The sequence below is a fragment of the Homo sapiens genome, chromosome 10 (assembly GCF_000001405.40).
Source record: "Homo sapiens chromosome 10, GRCh38.p14 Primary Assembly".
Classification (NCBI taxonomy): Eukaryota; Metazoa; Chordata; class Mammalia; order Primates; family Hominidae; genus Homo; species Homo sapiens.
Window position 1 is genome coordinate 1,971,782 of NC_000010.11, and position 20,577 is coordinate 1,992,358.

Genomic DNA, 20,577 nt, shown 5'->3' on the forward strand with positions numbered 1-20,577 from the left:
ATTTGCAGGAAAAGTAGCCCACTGGCTGAAACAGTGTTCAGCAGCAGAGGATCTGGTTATGGTTCCCCACTCCCCCAACAGTTTATCATGATGTCAGTTTTGGAGCCGGTGAGGCCAGGTTGAATCCAAGGACGTGGATGTGTGGACCTGGTTCTTCTGCTTTCTTGTGGCATACATGGCTCTTCTTCTGTTACATGGGGACAAAATTACATGCTGCTCCAGGCAGTTAAATGAGAAAAAAATGCCTGGCCAAGAACCTAACATTGGGGATGATCAATACCTGTCAGTTTTCTGTTTGAGTCTTGGTTTCCTCACCTGTAAATAGAGATGTTCTGCATATTTACCAGTGCATCACAAAGCTTCCACTTTTTGTATTGCGTCTTGGGACACGAGAAGACTCTGGTGATGCTCCTAGTGATGCTCGCTACCTTCTGCCTGGATGCAGCTTAGCCAGGTTTGAATGTTCATTGCATACCCTTTTTATCGGTTATTACTGCAGCCCACATATAGGTTTGCTAATTGCTCTTTCAGAGAACTCTGAACCCTTTCTTCTCCAGCCTCGTACAGCCACTTCACCCCTGTCCTGCAGACCTCCACCACCAACCTCTGCAAAGTCTTCCCTCTCTTGCCTGCCTGTTGGAATCAAGGCCAGTGTCAATTGTTCTGGGTTTTCATTTTCACAGCACCCATTGAAAATACCAAATTATTTTCCACTTATCTATTGTTACCCACAAGCCACTCCAAAACCCAGTGGTTTAAAACAGCTGTTTATTGTTACCACCAGTGGTTCTTTGGGTGGACTGGGCTCAGCAGGGTGGTTTTTGCTGAGGGCTCCGGTGGTTGCAGTCAGATGGCAGCTGGAGGTGGAGCAACCTGATGTCGTGGTTTTGCATCCACGACAGCTTCTCTCAGACAAGTGATCCTAGCCATTACTCAAAGCACAGCCTCCTGGAAGAGCTTGTTCTTCTCACACCATGGCTTCTGGCTTCCAAAAGGAATTATTCCTAGACCAATCTTTCCAAGAGGGAGGGGCTTCTAGAAGGTTAGTGGCAAAGTTACTTCTACCATCTTCTAAGTCACCAAATCAGTGTAGGACTCCCACAGGCTAAAGGAGATTAAAAAAAATGAACTCTAAATCTTGATGGATGTCTAGAAAGATCATATTACACATGAGAATGTGGGTTAGAAAATGAGTTTCATTGTATGTGTAGAGTACAGTCTGCTGTGGGGGAAGAATAATGGCAGATACATGCTGATTTGTTGCTGTGAGGATTCTGTGCCCAGGACTTGGGCTCAGTGAGTCCTCAGGAATTATCAGCTACTATTGATGCTATTGCCTACCTTTGCCTCATTTTGGAACTGAGTATTATGAATGCTTTTGGACCCTAGAAGAGAGCTGTAGCTGTTAGTGACTTCGGCTTTAAGACCACTGCCCCTCAGCCCTAAACCGTACACAGGTAGGCTCTTCATAAACCCAAACAACATTTATTGAGTAATGATAAGAAAACCATAAAGCCTCCATTCCAGTTAGGAAAACATTATAAAAATGAACATCAGTGATTTCTCATAAGGAAAATTGCTATGAAGAAAAATCTAACAGGGAACTGGAGATTAAGAGGCTAGGTGGTCAGCAAGGACTTTCATGAGAATGCACCTCTGAGGTCAGCTCAAGGTGACTAGATGAGAGGAAAAGGCGGCCAGGTGTAAGATCTAAGAACAAGATCTCATAAAAGTTCTGGGGATGAGATTCAGGCAGCAGAAAACAGAAACAAAAAATATTCATTACAGTATGGGAAAGAACAAAATATTCTCCAATAGGGAACAAAAATAAAACCCTGTTTATATAGTAGAATGTTCTGTGGTTACAAAGAAAAAAAAAACAAAAAGAAAAAGAAAAATGTGCCAACAGAAAACCTTGCAGTGATGTAATAGTGCATACAGTGTGAATAAATTTAGTAAAAAATTGCTCTCTGTCACACACACAACATATGCACAGGATTGTGCTTTTATATGTTTTCTATATTTATTTTTTAAATAAGTTTTTTTTTGTAGACTATCACGTAAAATCAGTGGGTCAGTCAATTGTTACTTTTAAAAAAAAATCATCCTTTTCCATGTTTCTTGCCCACTGCCCAGTACTGAGAAGATAATTGGCATCTGGTTTAAGAAACATGTGGAGCCACTAAGAGGTGAATTGTCCAGCTGGTGGACCTTTGTCTGGGCATTAGAATAAGGTCTGATGTCCCATATTTGCTGTATTTGTCTTTATCTTGGAGGTTAATGTAAACCATGTATGCAAGTATTAATGAGGTTATTTCCAGTACATATGCTACTGAAAGGTATGCTGCTTTAGTGTGCTAACCATGTGACTAGTTCTAGGTAAAGCAATGGAAAAGGTAGCAACAGAGACATGCAATTTAAAATGTCCCATATTACAAAGCATGACAAATCAGAGTGAATGCTTTCTATGTGGAGATATATTTTATAATTACATGGTTAAACTAAATGTAGAACTGATGATGTGCACAAATGTTTAGCTAAAAAAAAGATACATCTAAAATAAGTCAGATAAAATGTGAACTTTTACATCAGCGTGAAACCTTCATCACTTTGCTTTCCTGTGGATTTTCTTAGATCCTCCACAAACTGTTTTTTTTTTTTTTTATGAAAAGGGGTCATGATGAAGAATAATCCAGGCATTGCAGTAGGATAGTAGGCTTATGAGTTTGTTCTCACACTGCTGTAAATGTACTCTCTGAGTAATTTATAAAGAAGGGAGGTTTAACTGACTCACAGTTCCACATGTCTGGGAGGCCTCAGGAAACTTCCAATCATGGTGGAAGGCAAAGGGAAAGCAAGGCATGTCTTCTATGGTGGAAGAGAGAGTGCCACACTTTAAAACCATTAGTTCTCCTGAGAACTCACTCACTATCATAAGAATAGCATCAGGGAAACTGTGCCATAATCTAATCACCTCCCTCCAGGTGCCTCCGAGGCATAGGGGGATTACAATTTGAGATGAGTTTTGGGTGGAAACACAGAGCCAAGTCGTTTCAGTAGGTAATGTTAACTCTGTAGCATAAGATGATGGGGAAGAAATGATGTTTGATATATTTAATGGCTAAGTATTATAAAATGACTATACGTAGCTTGGAAAATACAGAAACAGTCAAAAAAGAAATTCCAGATAGTCTGCCTCACAAAACCTAGAGGCAAGTGTTGCTGGGGACAGAGTACTTACTCCAGTTGTTTATTTATTTTTTCTTTTCTGAGACAGGGCCTCAGTGGGTTACCCAGGCTGCAGTGCAGTGGTGCAACCACGGCTCAGTGCAGCCTCCATCTCCCAGGCTCAAGCAATCCTCTCACCTCAGCATCCCACGTAGCTGAGGTTACAGGCAGGGGACACCATTCCCGGCCTCCCCAGCTATTATAATACATTGGCTCCTCCAGTTGCACAATTGCCTTCATAATGAGTGATGTGTAATGAGCATCGCTAAACCCACCAAATAATCTTCCACAACTTTACCAATGGAGAAGCATCCCCTTTTCTGTTTATGTCATGATTCATTCATTATCTTCCTTCTCTGGGACTTGTAGGCAACTGCTTTAAATGGAGTTGGTGAAAGGACCACGTTTGGGTTGTTGGCCAGTGTGTTTGCATTGGTCATTGTGATTCTGTGCAGCTCTCCGAGTTGGCCCTATTTCCATACACAGATGCAGGAAGGAAATCGGCCACAGAACAACAAAACGAAGAAGAATTCTTTGTAATCTTTTGAGATTCAGAGTTGCATTTTGAAGTTCTCAGGAGAGCTGTAGATAAAAAGGACCATTGAGTCTCAAAACCTCAAAATCTTATTTTTTTAATTGTCACTATCACAGTTTTTGTCATAAACAAACAAACAAACAAAAAAACACAAAAATTTGGGCCAAATGCCTGATATAGCTGACCATCAGTTTTTTCCATCCTAGGGCTAAATTAATTAGGAGTTGATTAGAAAAAAGAAATAAATTTTAGAGGAAAATGTAGTATGCCTGAGGAAAAGTGAGTTGGGATGGTAATTCCAAACTAGGAAAACCACAAATTGATTCAGACATTTCTGAATTAATTAAGATTAAAATCTGCAAGATCAGGGGAATGGGAGTTAATGTACACATTATATTCAGTATAAAAATTATGTTTTGCATACTTGAGTTTGTAACTTGAAAGACTCATATGCGTTTAAAAATCATTTCACATCTCTGTAGTTACTACATTACAATAATAAGTTCTTAGTTCTTAATGGTCAAATAATCTAATTAAGTGCACAAATATTTGAATAGAGAATCACACACATGTATATAACAAATTCAGTCTACTCAAAGATGTGTAAGCAGAGACACACATACACTCACACACACATGCACACGTGTGCACACACACACTCCTTGCAGTGGAGTTAATACTCTAATTTCTAGTTTATTTTTCACTGCCCATATTTTACTATAAACAGGATGAAATCAGAGACTCGATTTCTCTTGCTGAATTTGAAGCCTATTGTCAAACCAGTGATTGGCAAACAATAGGTATTCACTAAATGCTATACATTAATAAATCAATTAATCGATTATTATTATATATCTTTATCTATTATGAAGAACAAACCATTTCTTCATGCCAGTTTCTGGATGTGATTGGGTAGGCAAACAAGAATTATAGTAAAATAAAATACAAATTATTTTATGAATCAGGTAGATCATGGTGGTTTTTTTTTAATCAAAAAATAATATCCTAATATATCCTACAATTTAGGGGTCAAATTAGTTGCATTTCACTTTTTGTACATATTAATCTAATAATATTCCTAATTCAATGTATTAACGTATTATACATGTATTAATGCCATTTTTATGCTTCATGAGACTTGATAATCTTTTTTTTTTTTTTTTGAGGTGGAGTCTTGCTCTATTACCCAGGCTGGAGTGCAGTGGCATGATTTCGGCTCACTGCAGCTTCCGCTTCCCAGGTTCAAGCGATTCTCCTGCCTCAGCCTCCTGAATAGCTGGGATTACAGGTGCCCGCCATCACGCCAGGCTAATTTTGTATTTTTAGTAAAGATAGAGTTTCACCATGTTGGCCAGCCTGGTCTTGAACTCCTGACCTTGAGATTCACCCACCTGGCCCTTCCAAAGTGCTGGGATTACAGGCGTGAGCCAGCTTGCCTGGCCAAGGCTTGATCATCTTTGAAGGTAGTTAAATTTCATGAGCAGGGGTTGGTTGGCTTCCTGAGGCTGCAGTTCCTCTGCCATCTTTCTGGAGTCTCCTAAGTGTGTGTTATGCTAAAATCAGGGCAGGTTCGATGTGCTCACTTCCTCAAGCTTCTTCTTTTGAATGGTGACTGAATTCAATGGTCAGTTTATCGGTGTATTAAACCATGATATGGAGACAGTATCTGTTCAACTTTTCAGCCATGCTTCAGTTCTTCCCAGCACTCTGATGCCTCTTATAAATATAAATGCAGACGAAAAGAGAAGTAAGCTCAGAGTGGAATTTTCTCTCTAGGAAGCAATTCAATCTCCGATCACTTACCCCAGAGTGAGAAAAACATCTGAAATTTATAGGACGTCTTTTGAAATGACCCTCCCCTCCTCTCCTGCACTGGGTGAGTTTCTAAACATCCTCTTCCCTTTTAAACATTTCCGTCTTTATACTGTATGCCCTGTACTGCTCCTTTGTGGAAGGAATATGGCTAAAAGACAGCATGTTTTTCCAGCAGGTTTGCATCAGGTGGGGCTGTTCTTATCACTGGAAATAAATTGGCCAATCCTATTGGGTGGGATTTGTGTTAATATGAGCCCCACCAGATGGATGAAGCAGATTTGTTTATCCCAAGCAGAGGACGATTGCTCTTCTCTCTTTTTTAACTGGATTTGGCCTTGTGCTCTTATAAGCCAGAGGGGCACATTAATCCATAATACTCTAATCTCACAGCCCTGTTTTAAGCCTAGAAAGTCTATGTATTTGTGATTTTGTTTCATTTCAAGTAACAAGATCATGAATAAAAACAACAAGCATAGCCCTTCTGTTCTGGAGGGTGGCTGACATATCACATCTCTGGGAGACTCCTGGCAGCTGTGCTCTGTCTTTTTGGTGAATTCACAGACTCCTTCCTCAGGACAAATATTTTGGAGCACAGTTAAATGGATGCATCTGTAATCAATTGCTTGTCATATTAAAGATTTTATTGTTGAAACAAGCCCATCTAATTCTTCATATAAATGTTTCTGTGTGTGTATTTGAAATAATCCTGCTGGGTTCGAGTATTATATAAGGAGAGGCTGACATGCATAGAACTATCTATTTCCTGAAGCCATGATTGCATTTTTGTGGGGCTGAAGAGTACAGGCTGTGCTTCTACAGCAAGTGCACTTATATGAGCTCATAGATATAGTAAGTTTGAGGTAAGGCAGACACTGTGAGGTATAACTGAAATGATTTCGCCTGGCCAGCAAGTGAAGATATAATAACTCTCTTTGAGGCTGACACCTATAAAAAGCTGCTGCAATGGGGAAAAAAGAAAAAACAAGCAACAACAACAAAAAGCCTGGTACACAAGGGCAGGATCACATGTCTGTCCTGTCTACATGTGTGAGTGTGAGAAATCCCTGAGTGCTATAGGAAAGTTTTCTCCAGCCTATTATTTTTAAACTCACATGTCTACTACCACCTTAGTTTTGCTACTTTCACATAAACGTTTGATCACCCACAAGAGTTTGCAGAGTTGGAAAGAGGAACCCATTAAACTATTAGAAAAAAAATCAACTCTGAAATAAATAGGAGACATAGACATTTGGCTATTTGAGATTAGCTAACTGCATCTTTTTAGGCTTCACTTATTAGTCCTCAGCATATTATCCTCAAAATGAGGTGCTTGGGCGGGGCAGCAAGGCCTCTGCATGGCCTTGATGATGCCTCACTCTGGAATTCATGCCCTTCTGCAACCCCTCCCTTCAAGTCGGATCTGTGCCTGCTCCTGACAAGTATGGCAAAGGTGATAGTTTATTTAAGATTGCAACACATAAAATTGCAGTTTCCATGCTGCTAGCAACCCTCTTTACTGCCTTCTCACCTTACATCCTCTTTGGGGATGGCCTCCAGCCAAGAGCCGCTAGGAATTAAGGCCCTCAGTTCCCAGCCTGCAGCAGCTGCATCCTGCCAACAACCAATCTGCTTATCCACAGGTCCATCCCCAGGCAAACCTTCAGATGAGACCTCAGCCCTGGTCTACATCTTACCACAGCTGTGAAGAACCCTGGGTCCATCTCAGCTGTGCCTGGATTTCTGACCCACACAAATTCCAGCATAATAAATGCATGTTTTTAACTTTATATTTACAGGCTGTCCAATCTCTCATTTTAACTATTCTTTATTTCTAAGGCATACAATCCAGAAACACAGGGTCTGGAGCTATGATACTTGCATTTGAATCTTACCTCCCCCAGTTACTAGCTAGCTTGCCTTGGGTTTATTACTTAATCTGTGTTTTGTCTTAATTTTCTCTTCTTTATGATAGTATAATGTTTGCCTTAGGGTATCATTGTGAAGATAAATTGTTGTTAAGATAAATGAGTAAAATGCTCAGAAAAGTTCCTGGCACAATAAAATTTAAAAGTGAATGACCTGTGATCAGGATTATGCATCAAGATGTGAGAAAATCCTTCCTAAGGATGTTAAATATAAATTCACAAGACTCGGGCACTTTGGAGCAGAGGCCAGGTGGATGGGAAGAAGTGGGCACTTCGGAGCAGAGTCCAGGCAGATGGGGGGAAGCGGGTGCTTCGGAGCAGAGGCAGGCAGATAGGGTTCATGCAGGTGCAGGATTCTTCACTTGCCTGCAAAGGGGATTGCTGTCAGAAGCACCCATGCCTCTTGCCTTCAGATTTTCATAAGCAAAGATACTTCAGGATGCAAGAGGAAATGCACACTGCTAATGCTGTAGATTTGTTACTCAGTAAATGCCCAGCATCAGAGCTCCTGGGTTTTACCTGGTGAAGAAATATCTACATGCCAAACAGAATCATTACTGCCTTCATTTCAGAGGTTTTCCGAGGGACCTGGGAAAGTTGTCAGTGCTGGCAGTAGAGATGCCACACCAGCAGTGTTCAAACACTTTACAAGTGCTGATTCAATACATGAGCAAATGGATGAAAATAGAAACCTCACATTTGTCTGTGGTTTTTAAGCCTCTTTCCACTGCCTTAAGGAGGTTTTGGGCATGGCAGCGAGTTTCCCATCTACCTTTTAGGGGATGGGATGACCACACAGGCAAGGGCAGAACATGACGTTTCAATTTTTGCACTAGCTTAAAAATAGGTAATCTCGTTTTACACTCTTCCCATCCTTCTCCAGTTGATAGTGCAGTTTTATATTACCTTAACTTTACAGACATGGTAATGGGTTCAGAGATTATATGCAAAGACGCTGAAGACTTAAACCAAGTCCTTCACTCAATTGACAAACACAAGTATTTGTATTTTTAAAAATGCATTTAGTGTTACTGAGCATTCTGTAGATATCAGGGTCTCTTATATTTTAAAACCTCTATATAAGGTCCACTTTTACTACAAGTCAATGACCCAGGGCAAATAATTTAGAAATCAGGATTCTATTTTCTCATCTGTGAAGCATTTAAATACCCATTTTATTGAATTTTGATGAGAATTATACAAAAATCATGTGTCTCATAGGTTTGACTATTGTACACAATTTTATCCACGCATATTTAAAATATTTTTGAAAAACAGAAAAATGATATGGCTGTTAACATAATACAGTTTTGAAAGTGAACTATTATTGCAGATGCAAGCTGTCTCATGCTGCCTCCGTGTCACTCCCACACCCTGCACTGATCTCCAGAGTCAAAGCCGTTCAAAAGTCTTACTTGTGCTTTTTTTTGGCACAAAACACACTTCCAGATTTCTCAGTGGTTTGCTTATACTGTCAGGTACTGAGGCACTCATAGACCACAGCTATAGAATCCATTCTGTGGAAGAAGACAGAAGCACTTGGAATTCCTCCTCCTGCCTAAACATACACACTTCAATAGCTTCTTTTCCCATATTCTCAAGTTAGCCGTGTCATAAGTTTTGGTTAAATCCTTCGTGACGTTTACATTAGCGTGACTGTGTACCACTATGCGTTGTCAATCCCCTTTTTTCCTGGCATATTTTAATTGCTTCTTTTTTTTCCTTTTATCTCATATTTTGTGTGTGAGACAAATCTGCCATTAAATCTCAGCATTTTAGACAAATCTATATTTTTAAATGTTTTTCAATACGATGAAAACGGTAAGGTAATCTGTCAGTTCCCAGTCTCTCATTCAGGAGAAGACACTCCTGGGAACGCGAACCCCCTGGCTCCAGTTTGCTAGTTCTCTGGTCCCGAGGCACAGAACTTCCTGCAGCCCTCTGTGTCTTCCTGGGATGCTTTTTGTCTCTGTGTAAGCTCCAACACTTGCAGGATCCAATGTCTTTCGTCTTATTGATTTGCTCCTCCGTTCTGTGATCCACATTTGCTTCTAGTGGAAGAAGAAATGGAAGATAATTATTGATACCTTTCATGTATAAAGAAGTCTTCCTTTACTTATCAATTCTGTTAATTTATCAAACACTAAAAAGTCCTTGTTTCATGTCAGGCATGGTTCTAATTACAGATATTAACTTAATAATTTCTTACTAGTTTGCCGACATAAAATTTTAACTTGAGAATAAGCTGCCCTGAGAATTGTGAACCCCATTCTGCATTTTCTTTCTAGATTACAGTATTGTTAAGAAATTGGATGTCATTCTTATTCCAAATTTTTTTGCCTATTAAGTCTTGTTTTTGTTTTTCTTTTCACTCTCTATCAGCTTAATCCCTAGTATTTGGGTATAATGATAATGCCCTTCGTGTAAGTAGTCTTTAAATGCATTTGCCTTAATACATTAAATCTGAAAATCCATCGACTCCATCTTTTTAATTATTTTTCATCTGATATCATTGGTGATTCCCTTTCCTCTCTTTATTATTTCTTTCTCCAATATTATTAGTTATATTTTCCAGACTAATTAAATAGATCTTTTCAGTTCTTTAAAATAGTTTTAACATCTCCTTGCTACATCTTTAATGTTTTCTTCGATTTTGGGATATGGCCCCAACTCTACCTTCCAAATCTTTATTTGTTTCTTTAAATTCCCACTAACGTATTTTTAACTTCCAAGACCTTTTGTTTGTTCTCTGCCTTCCTTTATCAAAGTATTCTGATTCTGCGGGGATTAGAGTTTTGAAGTGTTATTCTGTCATCTACATTCATTCCCTTTACTCTGAGTTCTGCTATTTTCTGCTTCTTTATTTGGATCTCTGTGTTTCTTGCTGGAAGTTTGCCTCCAATGGCTGGTGATCCTTCACGGTTCTTCCATATTCATGAGAGAGACATAAAATTAGATACAACATGTGCATTCTGGTTAATTGTTCAGAGGTATGCATTTCCAATTGCAGAACTTTAAAGATTCTTTGGATGCTACAAATCCACAACTTTAAGAATAAGCCAGAACACCTATTTCCTGTTTTATTGCCTGTTAAGAAGAAGGTGTACTTTGTTATACTGGATTTTGATAGAATGTGCTGTGGGTGGATACATGGGAAGGTACTTCTACACAACATCAGTCCATCGGGCTAAAAATTAAGTCAATCAATTAGCTCTTAACTTACTTATCTATCACTGAATACTCCTATTTTAATGAAAAATTTTTGTTTTATGGAAAATTCATGGGATGGACTTTGTAGCCTGTTAGAATGAAAAGGAGAGCACTAGTAAATACAGGAAGAAATGTGTGCCATCCCTTCATAAATACTTAACTTTCAGCAGGTGCTGAGTTCTAAGTATATGGCCAGGCATTGTGCTAAGTGTATTACAGTTATTAAAGTATTTAATTTCCACAGGAGAATTACATGGCATTCTAATTTTACAGATGAGAAAATGGTCTTTATAAGATCAATAATTCACTCCGAATAATAATTCCTCCAGTTAAGTGGAAAAATAAAGATTAGAACACAGGTCTTTAATTTAATCTCTAAGGTCTTCCACTTCTCTCCACAAATTCAATCTAATTATTTATGATTCTAGGTATACTTCAAACACTTTCTAGACCTTCACAGTCATTATTAAGAGCATAAACTATCATCGATTTTACAATTATTATATTGCTTTAAACCAATTATTAGTAAATTCTGCACAATAGAATTCACTTAATAAAGAAGAGAGTGACATAAATTTTATCTAATTTACGTTTTATATTATGTAATGTAAACATTGCCTTTTTTGAGACACTTTACAAGCCATCCAATTTATCTATTCTAGTCTTAGAGTAAATATTTATCTATTCTGGTCTTAGAGTAAATATTTATCTTCAATGTTTTTCTTATCTTAAAATTGTAATTAAGTTAGCAAGTAGTTGCCGAAGAACGAGGTCAGAACTCCTATGTGGTGGAATATCACCAGTTTATTTTTTGTGTCTATTTTCGTTTCCATTTTGAAAGAAAAATTCTATCTTTATCAACAATGATCCCGATACGCTCTGCCCAAAAGAAGGTTATTAGGCTAGTGCAAAAATAATTGTGTTTTTTGTCATTATTTAATTATTTAATGGTAAAAAGTGCAATTACTTTTGCAGCAACCTAATAGCTGTATTTTGAGAAGTAGTGATCAAGATCAACTTTAGAATCTCTATCCATCAACTGATTGGTAAATACATTTTTTATTATACTTTAAGTTCTGGGATACATGTGCAGAACGTGCAGGTTTGTTACATAGGTATACACGTGCCATGGTGGTTTGCTGCACCCATCAACCTGTCATCTACATTAGGTATTTCTCCTAATTGTATCCCTTCCCCTAGTCCCCCATCCCACAACGGGCCCCAGTGTGTGATGTTCCTTTCCCTGTGTCCATGTGTTCTCATTGTTCAACTCCCATTTATGAGTGAGAACACAAGGTGTTTGCTTTTTCTGTTCTTGTGTTAGTTTGCTGAGAATTATGGTTTCCAGCTTCATCCATGTCCCTGCAAAGGACATGAACTCATCCTTTTATATGGCTGCATAGTATTCCATGGTGTCTATATCCATGATGGACATTTGGGTTGGTTCCAAGTCTTTGCTATTGTGAACAGTGCCACAATAAACATACGTGTGCATGTGTCTTTATAGTAGAATAATTTATAATCCTTTGGGCATATACCCAGTAATGGGATTGCTGGGTCAAATGGTATTTCTAGTTCTAGATCCTTGAGGAATCACCACACTGTCTTTTGAAGATTGACAATGTTTCTAATGAAGGCTTAATATAATGGGGAAAAAGGAATCTTAATGACATTCTTTTGTTTTTCACAATAATAGCAATACATTACAACAATATATCCTTTCAATCAAAAATCTTTGAAATGTGTTTTGCATGTGTAATCTCCAACCTTCTAGAGAGACACATGGATATGTGCACTGGAACTCCAGTCCCCAGCCCTGGGATCCAGGCTATGTTTTGCATGTGTGATCTCCTAGCTTCCATAGAGATATGTGGATGTGTGCACTGGAACTCCAGTCCCCAGCCCTGGGATCCAGGCTATGTTTTGCATGTGTGATCTCCTAGCTTCCATAGAGATACGTGGATGTGTGCACTGGAACTCCAGTCCCCAGCCCTGGGATCCAGGCTGTGTTTTGCATGTGTGATCTCCTGGCTTCCATAGAGATATGTGGATGTGTGCACTGGAACTCCAGTCCCCAGCCCTGGGATCCAGGCTATGTTTTGCATGTGCAATCTCCTCCCTTCCATAGAGATATGTGGATGTGTGCACTGGAACTCCAGTCCCCAGCCCTGGGATCCAGGCTACATTTTGCATGTGCGATCTCCTCCCTTCCATAGAGATACATGGATGTGTGCACAGGAACTCCAGTCCCCAGCTCTGGGATCCAGGCTATGTTTTGCATGTGTGATCTCCTAGCTTCCATAGAGATATGTGGATGTGTGCACTGGAACTCCAGTCCCCAGCCCTGGGATCCAGGCAGTGTTTTGCATGTGTGATCTCCTCCCTTCCATAGAGACACACGGATGTGTGCACTGGAACTCCAGTCCCCAGCCCTGGGATCAAGGCTATGTTTTCCATGTGTGATCTCCTAGCTTCCATAGAGATACGTGGATGTGTGCACTGGAACTATTCCAATCCCCAGCCCTGGGCTCCAGGCTACGTTTTGTCACATGCTAGAGATGTAAGCTGGGGAAGTTGATCCAAAATTGATCAGACTGGGCCTCAGTTTTCTCAAGGATAAAAAGAGAGTACTTTATTAAATTGTTACAGAAATTAAACAATATAAATATTTCAATGATAAATAATTACATCAATAAAATGTCAGTTATCCATGGCAATATTATAGTTGTAAATGTGGACAGGTTAAGCCCCAGAGATTGAGTCCATTCATGTTAGAAGTATTTCTCTACATTAATGCATAAACACTATAAGGTAGAAGCAGTCATTTAACAAATTCAAGCTAAGAAAAAAAGTAAAAATAATTATTCCTATTTCTTAGTGCCTGTGACAACATTACTCATTTCACATATGTTATTTCTATACTCTTTATAAATTACTTCCTAAGACTATGGAAGTCTGGTTTCTTATGTTTTCCTTCTGAATTTTACAGTTAGACAGATCTGAGAGGTGGGTGTGTTGAAATGCGTATGTGAATTAAATGCAATGCAAAAGTAAAGCTTAACCCCATAAGACAGCAACGACGAGTAGAAAGTGTGTGAGATTATTTCCTTTTACCTCGTCTGTTTATAGACTCTTACTAAAATATTTGTAGCCTAACAAACTGAAAGGAATTAAGAAAACTTGATGTGATTCTGAGAGTCACTTTGATGTTGGAATGATAAGAAAATCGTGTGTTTGAGGGAAGACTGGATAAGAATATTGATAATACCTGTGAGAAATAATGGAGACATTATTTGCACTTTATAGAGAAGGAAACTTGGAACAAAACCAAGTGTCTCTCTGTAGCATGTTCAAATGATGTTGTATGGAGTTCATGTATGTATACATAGAATCAGACAGAGAAGAACAGATGCTGAAGGTGAACACCCTAAGTTTGTGTTTCCTGGTACAAAGCTTATTCTAGATTATATCTGTCAACTCCAAAGAAGAATTCTTACACCTCAAGGGAAAAACAAATAGATGAAGGATAAGTGGAAAATGATGATCTTCTTTTTTTCTTTTTCCTTTACTGTTTCTCCTTCATGGTTTTTCTTCATTGTTTCTGGAATCTTACTGAAATATTTGTGGCCATGCATTGCTGGTGGGAAGGTAAAATGGCACAGCTGCTATGGAAAACAGTTTAGAAGTTTCAAAAATTTAAACATAGAACTACCATATCACACAAGAGTTTCACTACTAGGCATATTCCCCAAAATAATGGCAACCAAGACTCAAAAAGATACTTGTACATCAAAGTACACTGCAGCATGATTCACAATAACCAAAAGGTGCACAGAACCCAAACGTCCATCAATGGATGAATGGATAAAGAAAATGTGGCCTGGATACTCCATGGAATATTATTCAGTCATGAAAGAGATGGCATTCTAACACACACCACAGCATGGTGAAGCTTGGAAACATTATGCTACGTGAAATAAGCTGGACACAGAAGGACAGATGAGACACTGCCATGAAATATCTGGAATAGACAAGTTCGCAGAGAAATAAAGTCAGCCAGAAGATGATTGATTAGTGGGAACAGAATTTCCATCTGGGGCAATAAAAATATTTTGGAAATAGATGGTGGTGTTGGCCGCACCTATAGTGAATGAAATTAAGGCCACTGATGTGTACACTTATGCTGGTCAAAATGGCAAATTTTGTGCTGTGTGTATTTTACTACAATAAAAATATTTTTTAAAGTACCTATGGTAAATTTTATGCTATGTATATTTTACTACAATAAAAGTTTTTTTTTTTTTTTTTTTTGACGGAGTCCCACTCTGTCTCCCAGGCTGGAGTGCTCTTCACCCATCCACTGTGCTATTTCTCTTTGAAGTCAGTCAGTCTTGCGGTTCTTTTCCTCTATTTTATAATTTTTTGACTAACTTTTCAAGGACTATAAACAGTTTATTTTTGCTCTTTTTTTTTTTTTTTTTTTTTTGAGACAGAGTCTCGCTCTGTCGCCCAGGCTGGAGTGCAGTGGCGTGATCTCGGCTCACTGCAAGCTCCGCCTCCCGGGTTCACACCATTCTCCTGTCTCAGCCTCCTGAGTAGCTGGGAGTACAGGGGCCCACCACCATTCCTGGCTGATTTTTTGTATTTTTAGTAGAAACGGGGTTTCACCGTGTTGGTCAGGATGGTCTTGAACTCCTGACCTCGTGATCCATGGTGCTCGACCTCTCAAGGTGCTGGGATTACAGGCGTGAGCCACTGCATCCGGCACTATAAACAGTTTTAATGCCTCTACCATCTTGGGTAAAGCTTACCTATCATGAGTTCTACCAGCTTATGTACTTAAACATTTACCTTCCCCACTTCATGGAGTCCACATCCACCACCAGACTTACCTGAAACCATGCTGATCACTCGTTATTTAGTTCTTACAGCTCCACTGAAATGCTCTGGGGAGAAAAAAAGAATGTCTTCCTCACCTCAAAACTCACACACTCTTTTTTTAAACATCTTCTTGTAGCCATTGACATCAGATTCCCTGGTACTTGGTCCACATGGCTCCATGAGTCCCTGATTCTCACAGCCATGCGGCACACAGAGCGAGGGACCTCTCATGAATGAACGCCCTAGATGCCCACCCCTGTCAAGCGAGGGACCTCTCATGAATGAACGCCCTAGATACCCACCCCTGTCAAGTTCAGCACGGCAAAGACACAGTGGGGACAAGGGCACTGAGGTGGAGCTGAGGCTTTACTGACGAGATATTTTGAATCTGTTCATTGCAAGGCCTCTTCTGTCTATGCTGTCATGAAAGGAATAAATAAGGTGTGTTTATAAGTTTTCACAATGGGGACATGTCTTCCCTTAGTTTTTTTTTTTTTTTTTTTTTTTAAGAAATACTTCTAAAACTTGGCTGCGGTAATTGAGGCTGCATCACAACACATGAGTACTCTCCAATAATTATACCTCACCTGTTGGGTGTCATACTGTATTATTATGCTTTGGGATTCCCTGGAATACCATTTATGCAATGATGGTGATGACATCGGTAATAATGGCTAGAGCACTGACTTCATGCCAGAACAACCTAGGGGCTTCAGACGTGTGTTTAGCTTCTCAACAGCCCCATGAGGTAGGACCCATTTTCCCTTTTTGTGGATGAGAAAATCGAGAAGCGGAAGGTAAGAATTTAGTTCAAGCTCTTACATCTAGTGAAAACCAGAATTGGGATTTGAACCCACTCAGTCTGGCTCCAGAGCCTGCGCTCAACCGTGTTGTACACCGACTTGGCTCTAACAGATCCACTGCAGTTTCTTCATCAACCTTAGTTTCCCCTTGTTGACTCCTTGTAAATCAGGCACTTGGCAAAATACCTCGATTCACCTGGTGCAGCCACATCATTGAAATACATATGTTCTTTCATTCTACTAAACACAGTAAAAGAGTAATGGTGCTCAACTTCTATGAATTTGCTAATAAAGATATTATAGTCACATAAAACTTGTTCTTTGGGTTTCATTTAGAAATAATATTTACACATTCATTCATCTTATCAGTTATTTGCATAGGTATTAAGCACAGAAAATGTGGGTATATAAATAGTGATAAAGTTAATCTTTGCTTTAAAATAAATTATCGTTTAGTAGAGTTCTTCATTTTTAACATTTTATTTTGTTTTATTTTCATGAGGTTCTCTTTTCCTGTTACTGAAAGGAATTTCTGGAGGTCAGACAGAAGTAGTTCATTACATAGACAAAGAGACTACAAATCAATACCCCTCAAGAAAGATTAAGGTGCTATGAGACTGTCTTGGTATTTGTAGAGAATCATATGAAAGTCAGTTTTTTAGCTAGTGGCTGAATCAAAATTTGCTTCATTTATAGATAGGTACAGATATGGATAGCATTTTTAAAACTACCACTAGACACTATATTATATTTATTTTACTGTCTTTCCCACTAACTAGGCTAAAGTTGTAAAGGCCTGTCTCAATTAAAAAGAAATAGATTGGGTTCTAACAAAAGCAAGTGTGTTTTATCAACATATTCTTCCTATTAATTTTATTACCAGAAGTAGAAGGCATATGGGAGGCATGGTTTTATTTCAGGATGCTTGGAAGATTACATTGCATAGAATTATATTATGCTAAACAAATTGACATAAAATGTGACAGAAAAGGAAAATATGTGCTAATAGTCTGCAGACAGGCAGGGTCTGTGTGACCTGAGGATGCATTTGGTTCAGGGGCAGAGAGAGCGGGACCCCCAGTATGTGGGACCCCCAATGTGCAGAGCCACACCATGGAGGTAGCGGTCACAGCCCTGGGACGGGAAGGATGAATAGGGCACAACGTCAGCTAAAGCAACGGGTTTCAAACATGGATCTCAGCCCCATCTGGAGGGATTCTGATTCAGTAATGGGCTGAAAACCCCAAGATGCTTGCTTTTACAAAGCTCTCCAGAAGGTTCTGAAAGGTAGGTTCAGGAAGGATCAAACTGAATCTTAAGGAAAATCCACACTTAGGAAACAAGAGGAAGAAATAAACTCAGAAGGAAATATCTATGTGTCTGTCACTATCATCATCCTATTTTGCCACTTGAGGAAATTAGTTTTTTAAAGAGGTTAACTAAGTTTCTCAAGAGGGCTGAAGAGGGAAGGAGCAGGACAGTCACTGGAATTCCAGTGTGTCTGTTACAAAGTGTCCATTTTAGCCTCTTTGCCTACTGCATCCTTTGAACAAGATAAAGTGGAAGAAATCAGACAGGAGTCCAGGGAAGGGGTTAATGGCTGGAGTCATGAGCTCCATCACTTGCGTAAGGCCAGGAAAGCCCAGGTCAGACTCTCTAGAGAGACAGCCTGGGCATTGCAGAATTCAGAAGTTGAGTAGAAACAGGCAAATCTCACTGGAGATTTCTGGGAATTGATTAGTAGTGACTTTCTGGTATTATTAACAAAATGTGGAGGTTTTTAATGAGGAAATGAGAAAGATAAAATCCAATGCAAGGTGGGGATATGATTTTAAAAAATTAACTGTTTGTCTAACAGCACAGAGAAGAACAAGAGGATGGGGGTTAGTTCATTATCCCTGCATGAAATCCTGCAAATGAGTGTTCTCATTCCAGCTTCCAATTTAATATCTGAAAACCTAAGGGCAGATTTCAAGAGAATTATGTCCTTTTTCTAAGAAAGTCTATTTCATAACCGAGTGTCTGAAATATCTTACCTTTTGATTTTAAAGTATTAAAAAACTGATTTAATTATGTGCATGGTGCCTTGGCCCACAGACAATAAATTTGAACTAACAGTGTGCTTCTGTGTCTGTAGGTGGCCAAGGCTAAACGTGGAACAAGATACAGGATTCTCATTGTGTGTAGGAAGGAGGCCACAAGGTGTTTATGGCAACTGGGGTCTGGAATATATTTGGAGGGAGAACTTGGCAAGTTATTGATGATTAATGTCTACTTTCACCATAGACGATGAATGTTCAAGTTGGCGGTGGCTCATCCCAACAGGAAGAACATGTCCACAGCAGTTCCTTCCTTCCCGGCGGGTGCAGTTACTTTGCCCCATCCACTGCGTAGTGCAGTTACTTCTCTCCATCCACTGTGAACACTGTCCCTGCGTCTCTTCCAAACCCCCCACATCAGAAGGGGGACTTCTTCTCATGGGTGGTTTATTTCCAAGGTGTGCTCAGAGGCAGAGTAGATAACTACTGTTGGCTCTACTCTTTCTCCTCACCTAGGGAAGCACATTGTCCTGCTGAAAATTATAAAATTATCATTAATATTGTTTAAATAATACATTATATTTTAAAGTGTGCCTATTACATAAACCAAAAATATTTTAGGTTCTTAAGATGAGAACATAAGAATATTCTGAAGGAAAGTCCACAACAATAATGTATGTTTTGATAAATGTACCCAAAGATTTAGAGAATTTCACTTTGAGTAAGAATATGAAGTAGGAATTTAAATATAGGCAGCCATAGAGGCATCTAAATGCGATCGTTGTGCATGGCACTAGAAGAAAGGATTTACAAACCACCCAGTGGAATTTTGATCTTATCAGAACATACTTTAAACTTTTTCTCAATAGCTCTTTTAGCCACTCATCTCTGGACAAAACCATTGTAGCAGACTATGGGGGGTAAATAAATCTGCTTTTCACTGTAGTATTACGTATAGTATGTAGTAGTATTACATTTGCAAGTTGAGTTTCCAGAATCAAAACAAACTAGAAAACTGAGATTCTAAATTTTCTGGGTAACAGTTCCAATTATTTTAGTTTACTTTTAGAGATTTAGACTGGGCCATATCTTGAGCTCCATTGCTAAGCAGGGGGAGGTAATGTAAAGAAGAAATATGTAGGGCTTATAGATGATAGATAGATAGATAGACAGAGATTAGATAGATGATAGCTAAATAGTAATAGCTAGCTTGTTAGATGATGGTGATAGAGGATAGGTAAATAGTGATAGATAGATACATAGATAGATAGCTACATAGATGGACAGATGATAGGGATAGGTGATAGGTAAACAGTGATAGATAGATAGATAGATAGATAGATACATAGGTAGATGACAGAGATAGATAGATGATAGGTAAATTGTGATAGACAGATGATAGAGATAGATAGGAGAGAGATAATAAAGATAGATAGATGATAGCTAAATAGTGATAGCTACTTTGCTAGATACATGATAGTGATAGATGATAGGTAAACAGTGATAGATAGACGATAGATAGATAATTGATAGACATAGATGATAGGTAACTAGTGATGATAGATAGATATGAATAATAGGTAAGTAGTGATAGATTAGATGATAGAAAGAGATAGATCATAGGTAAATAGTGATAGATTATAGATAGAGATAGGTTGGTAGATGATAGAGATATATGGTAGGTAAACAGAGATAGCTAGCTAGATGATAGATGGATAAGACAGATAGATGATAGATAAATAGATAGATATAGATAGATAAATAGATATGATAGGGAAATAGTGATAGCTAGATAGATGATAGGTAAACAATGATAGATGGATAGACAGATGATAGAGATAGATGATAGGTAAAGAGTGATAGCTAGATAGAAAAATAGATAGATGATAGATAGATAGATGATGGAGATGATAAACATATATATGCCTAAAAGAATCCTGAGCTAAGTGCTACATAATAAGGTAATATTTAATAATAGCTCATAGTTCAAAGGCTACAGATATTAGAAATACAAATATTTGAAACAGCGTGCAGTGTCTCACACCTGTAATCCCAGTGCTTTGGGAGGTTAAGATGGGAGGATCACTTGAGGCCAGGAGTTTGAGACCAGCCTTGGCAACACAGTGAAATTCCCATCTTTA

General features: G+C 38.8%; 1 long non-coding RNA gene across 3 annotated transcripts; it reads left to right on the forward strand.

Annotated features, from left to right (window-relative positions):
- LOC105376346 (uncharacterized) lies at positions 1 to 18,599 on the forward strand. Of its 3 annotated transcripts, none has more exons than XR_930539.2 (3): positions 1 to 454; positions 5,540 to 5,639; positions 18,535 to 18,599. It is a non-coding gene; the product is annotated as an uncharacterized LOC105376346 (long non-coding RNA). The 3 variants fall into 3 exon arrangements; XR_930538.3 differs by lacking the exon at positions 18,535 to 18,599 and adding an exon at positions 6,022 to 6,233; XR_007062034.1 differs by lacking the exon at positions 18,535 to 18,599 and having other exon boundaries at positions 5,540 to 6,233.
- The last annotated feature ends 1,978 nt before the right edge of the window (positions 18,600 to 20,577 follow it).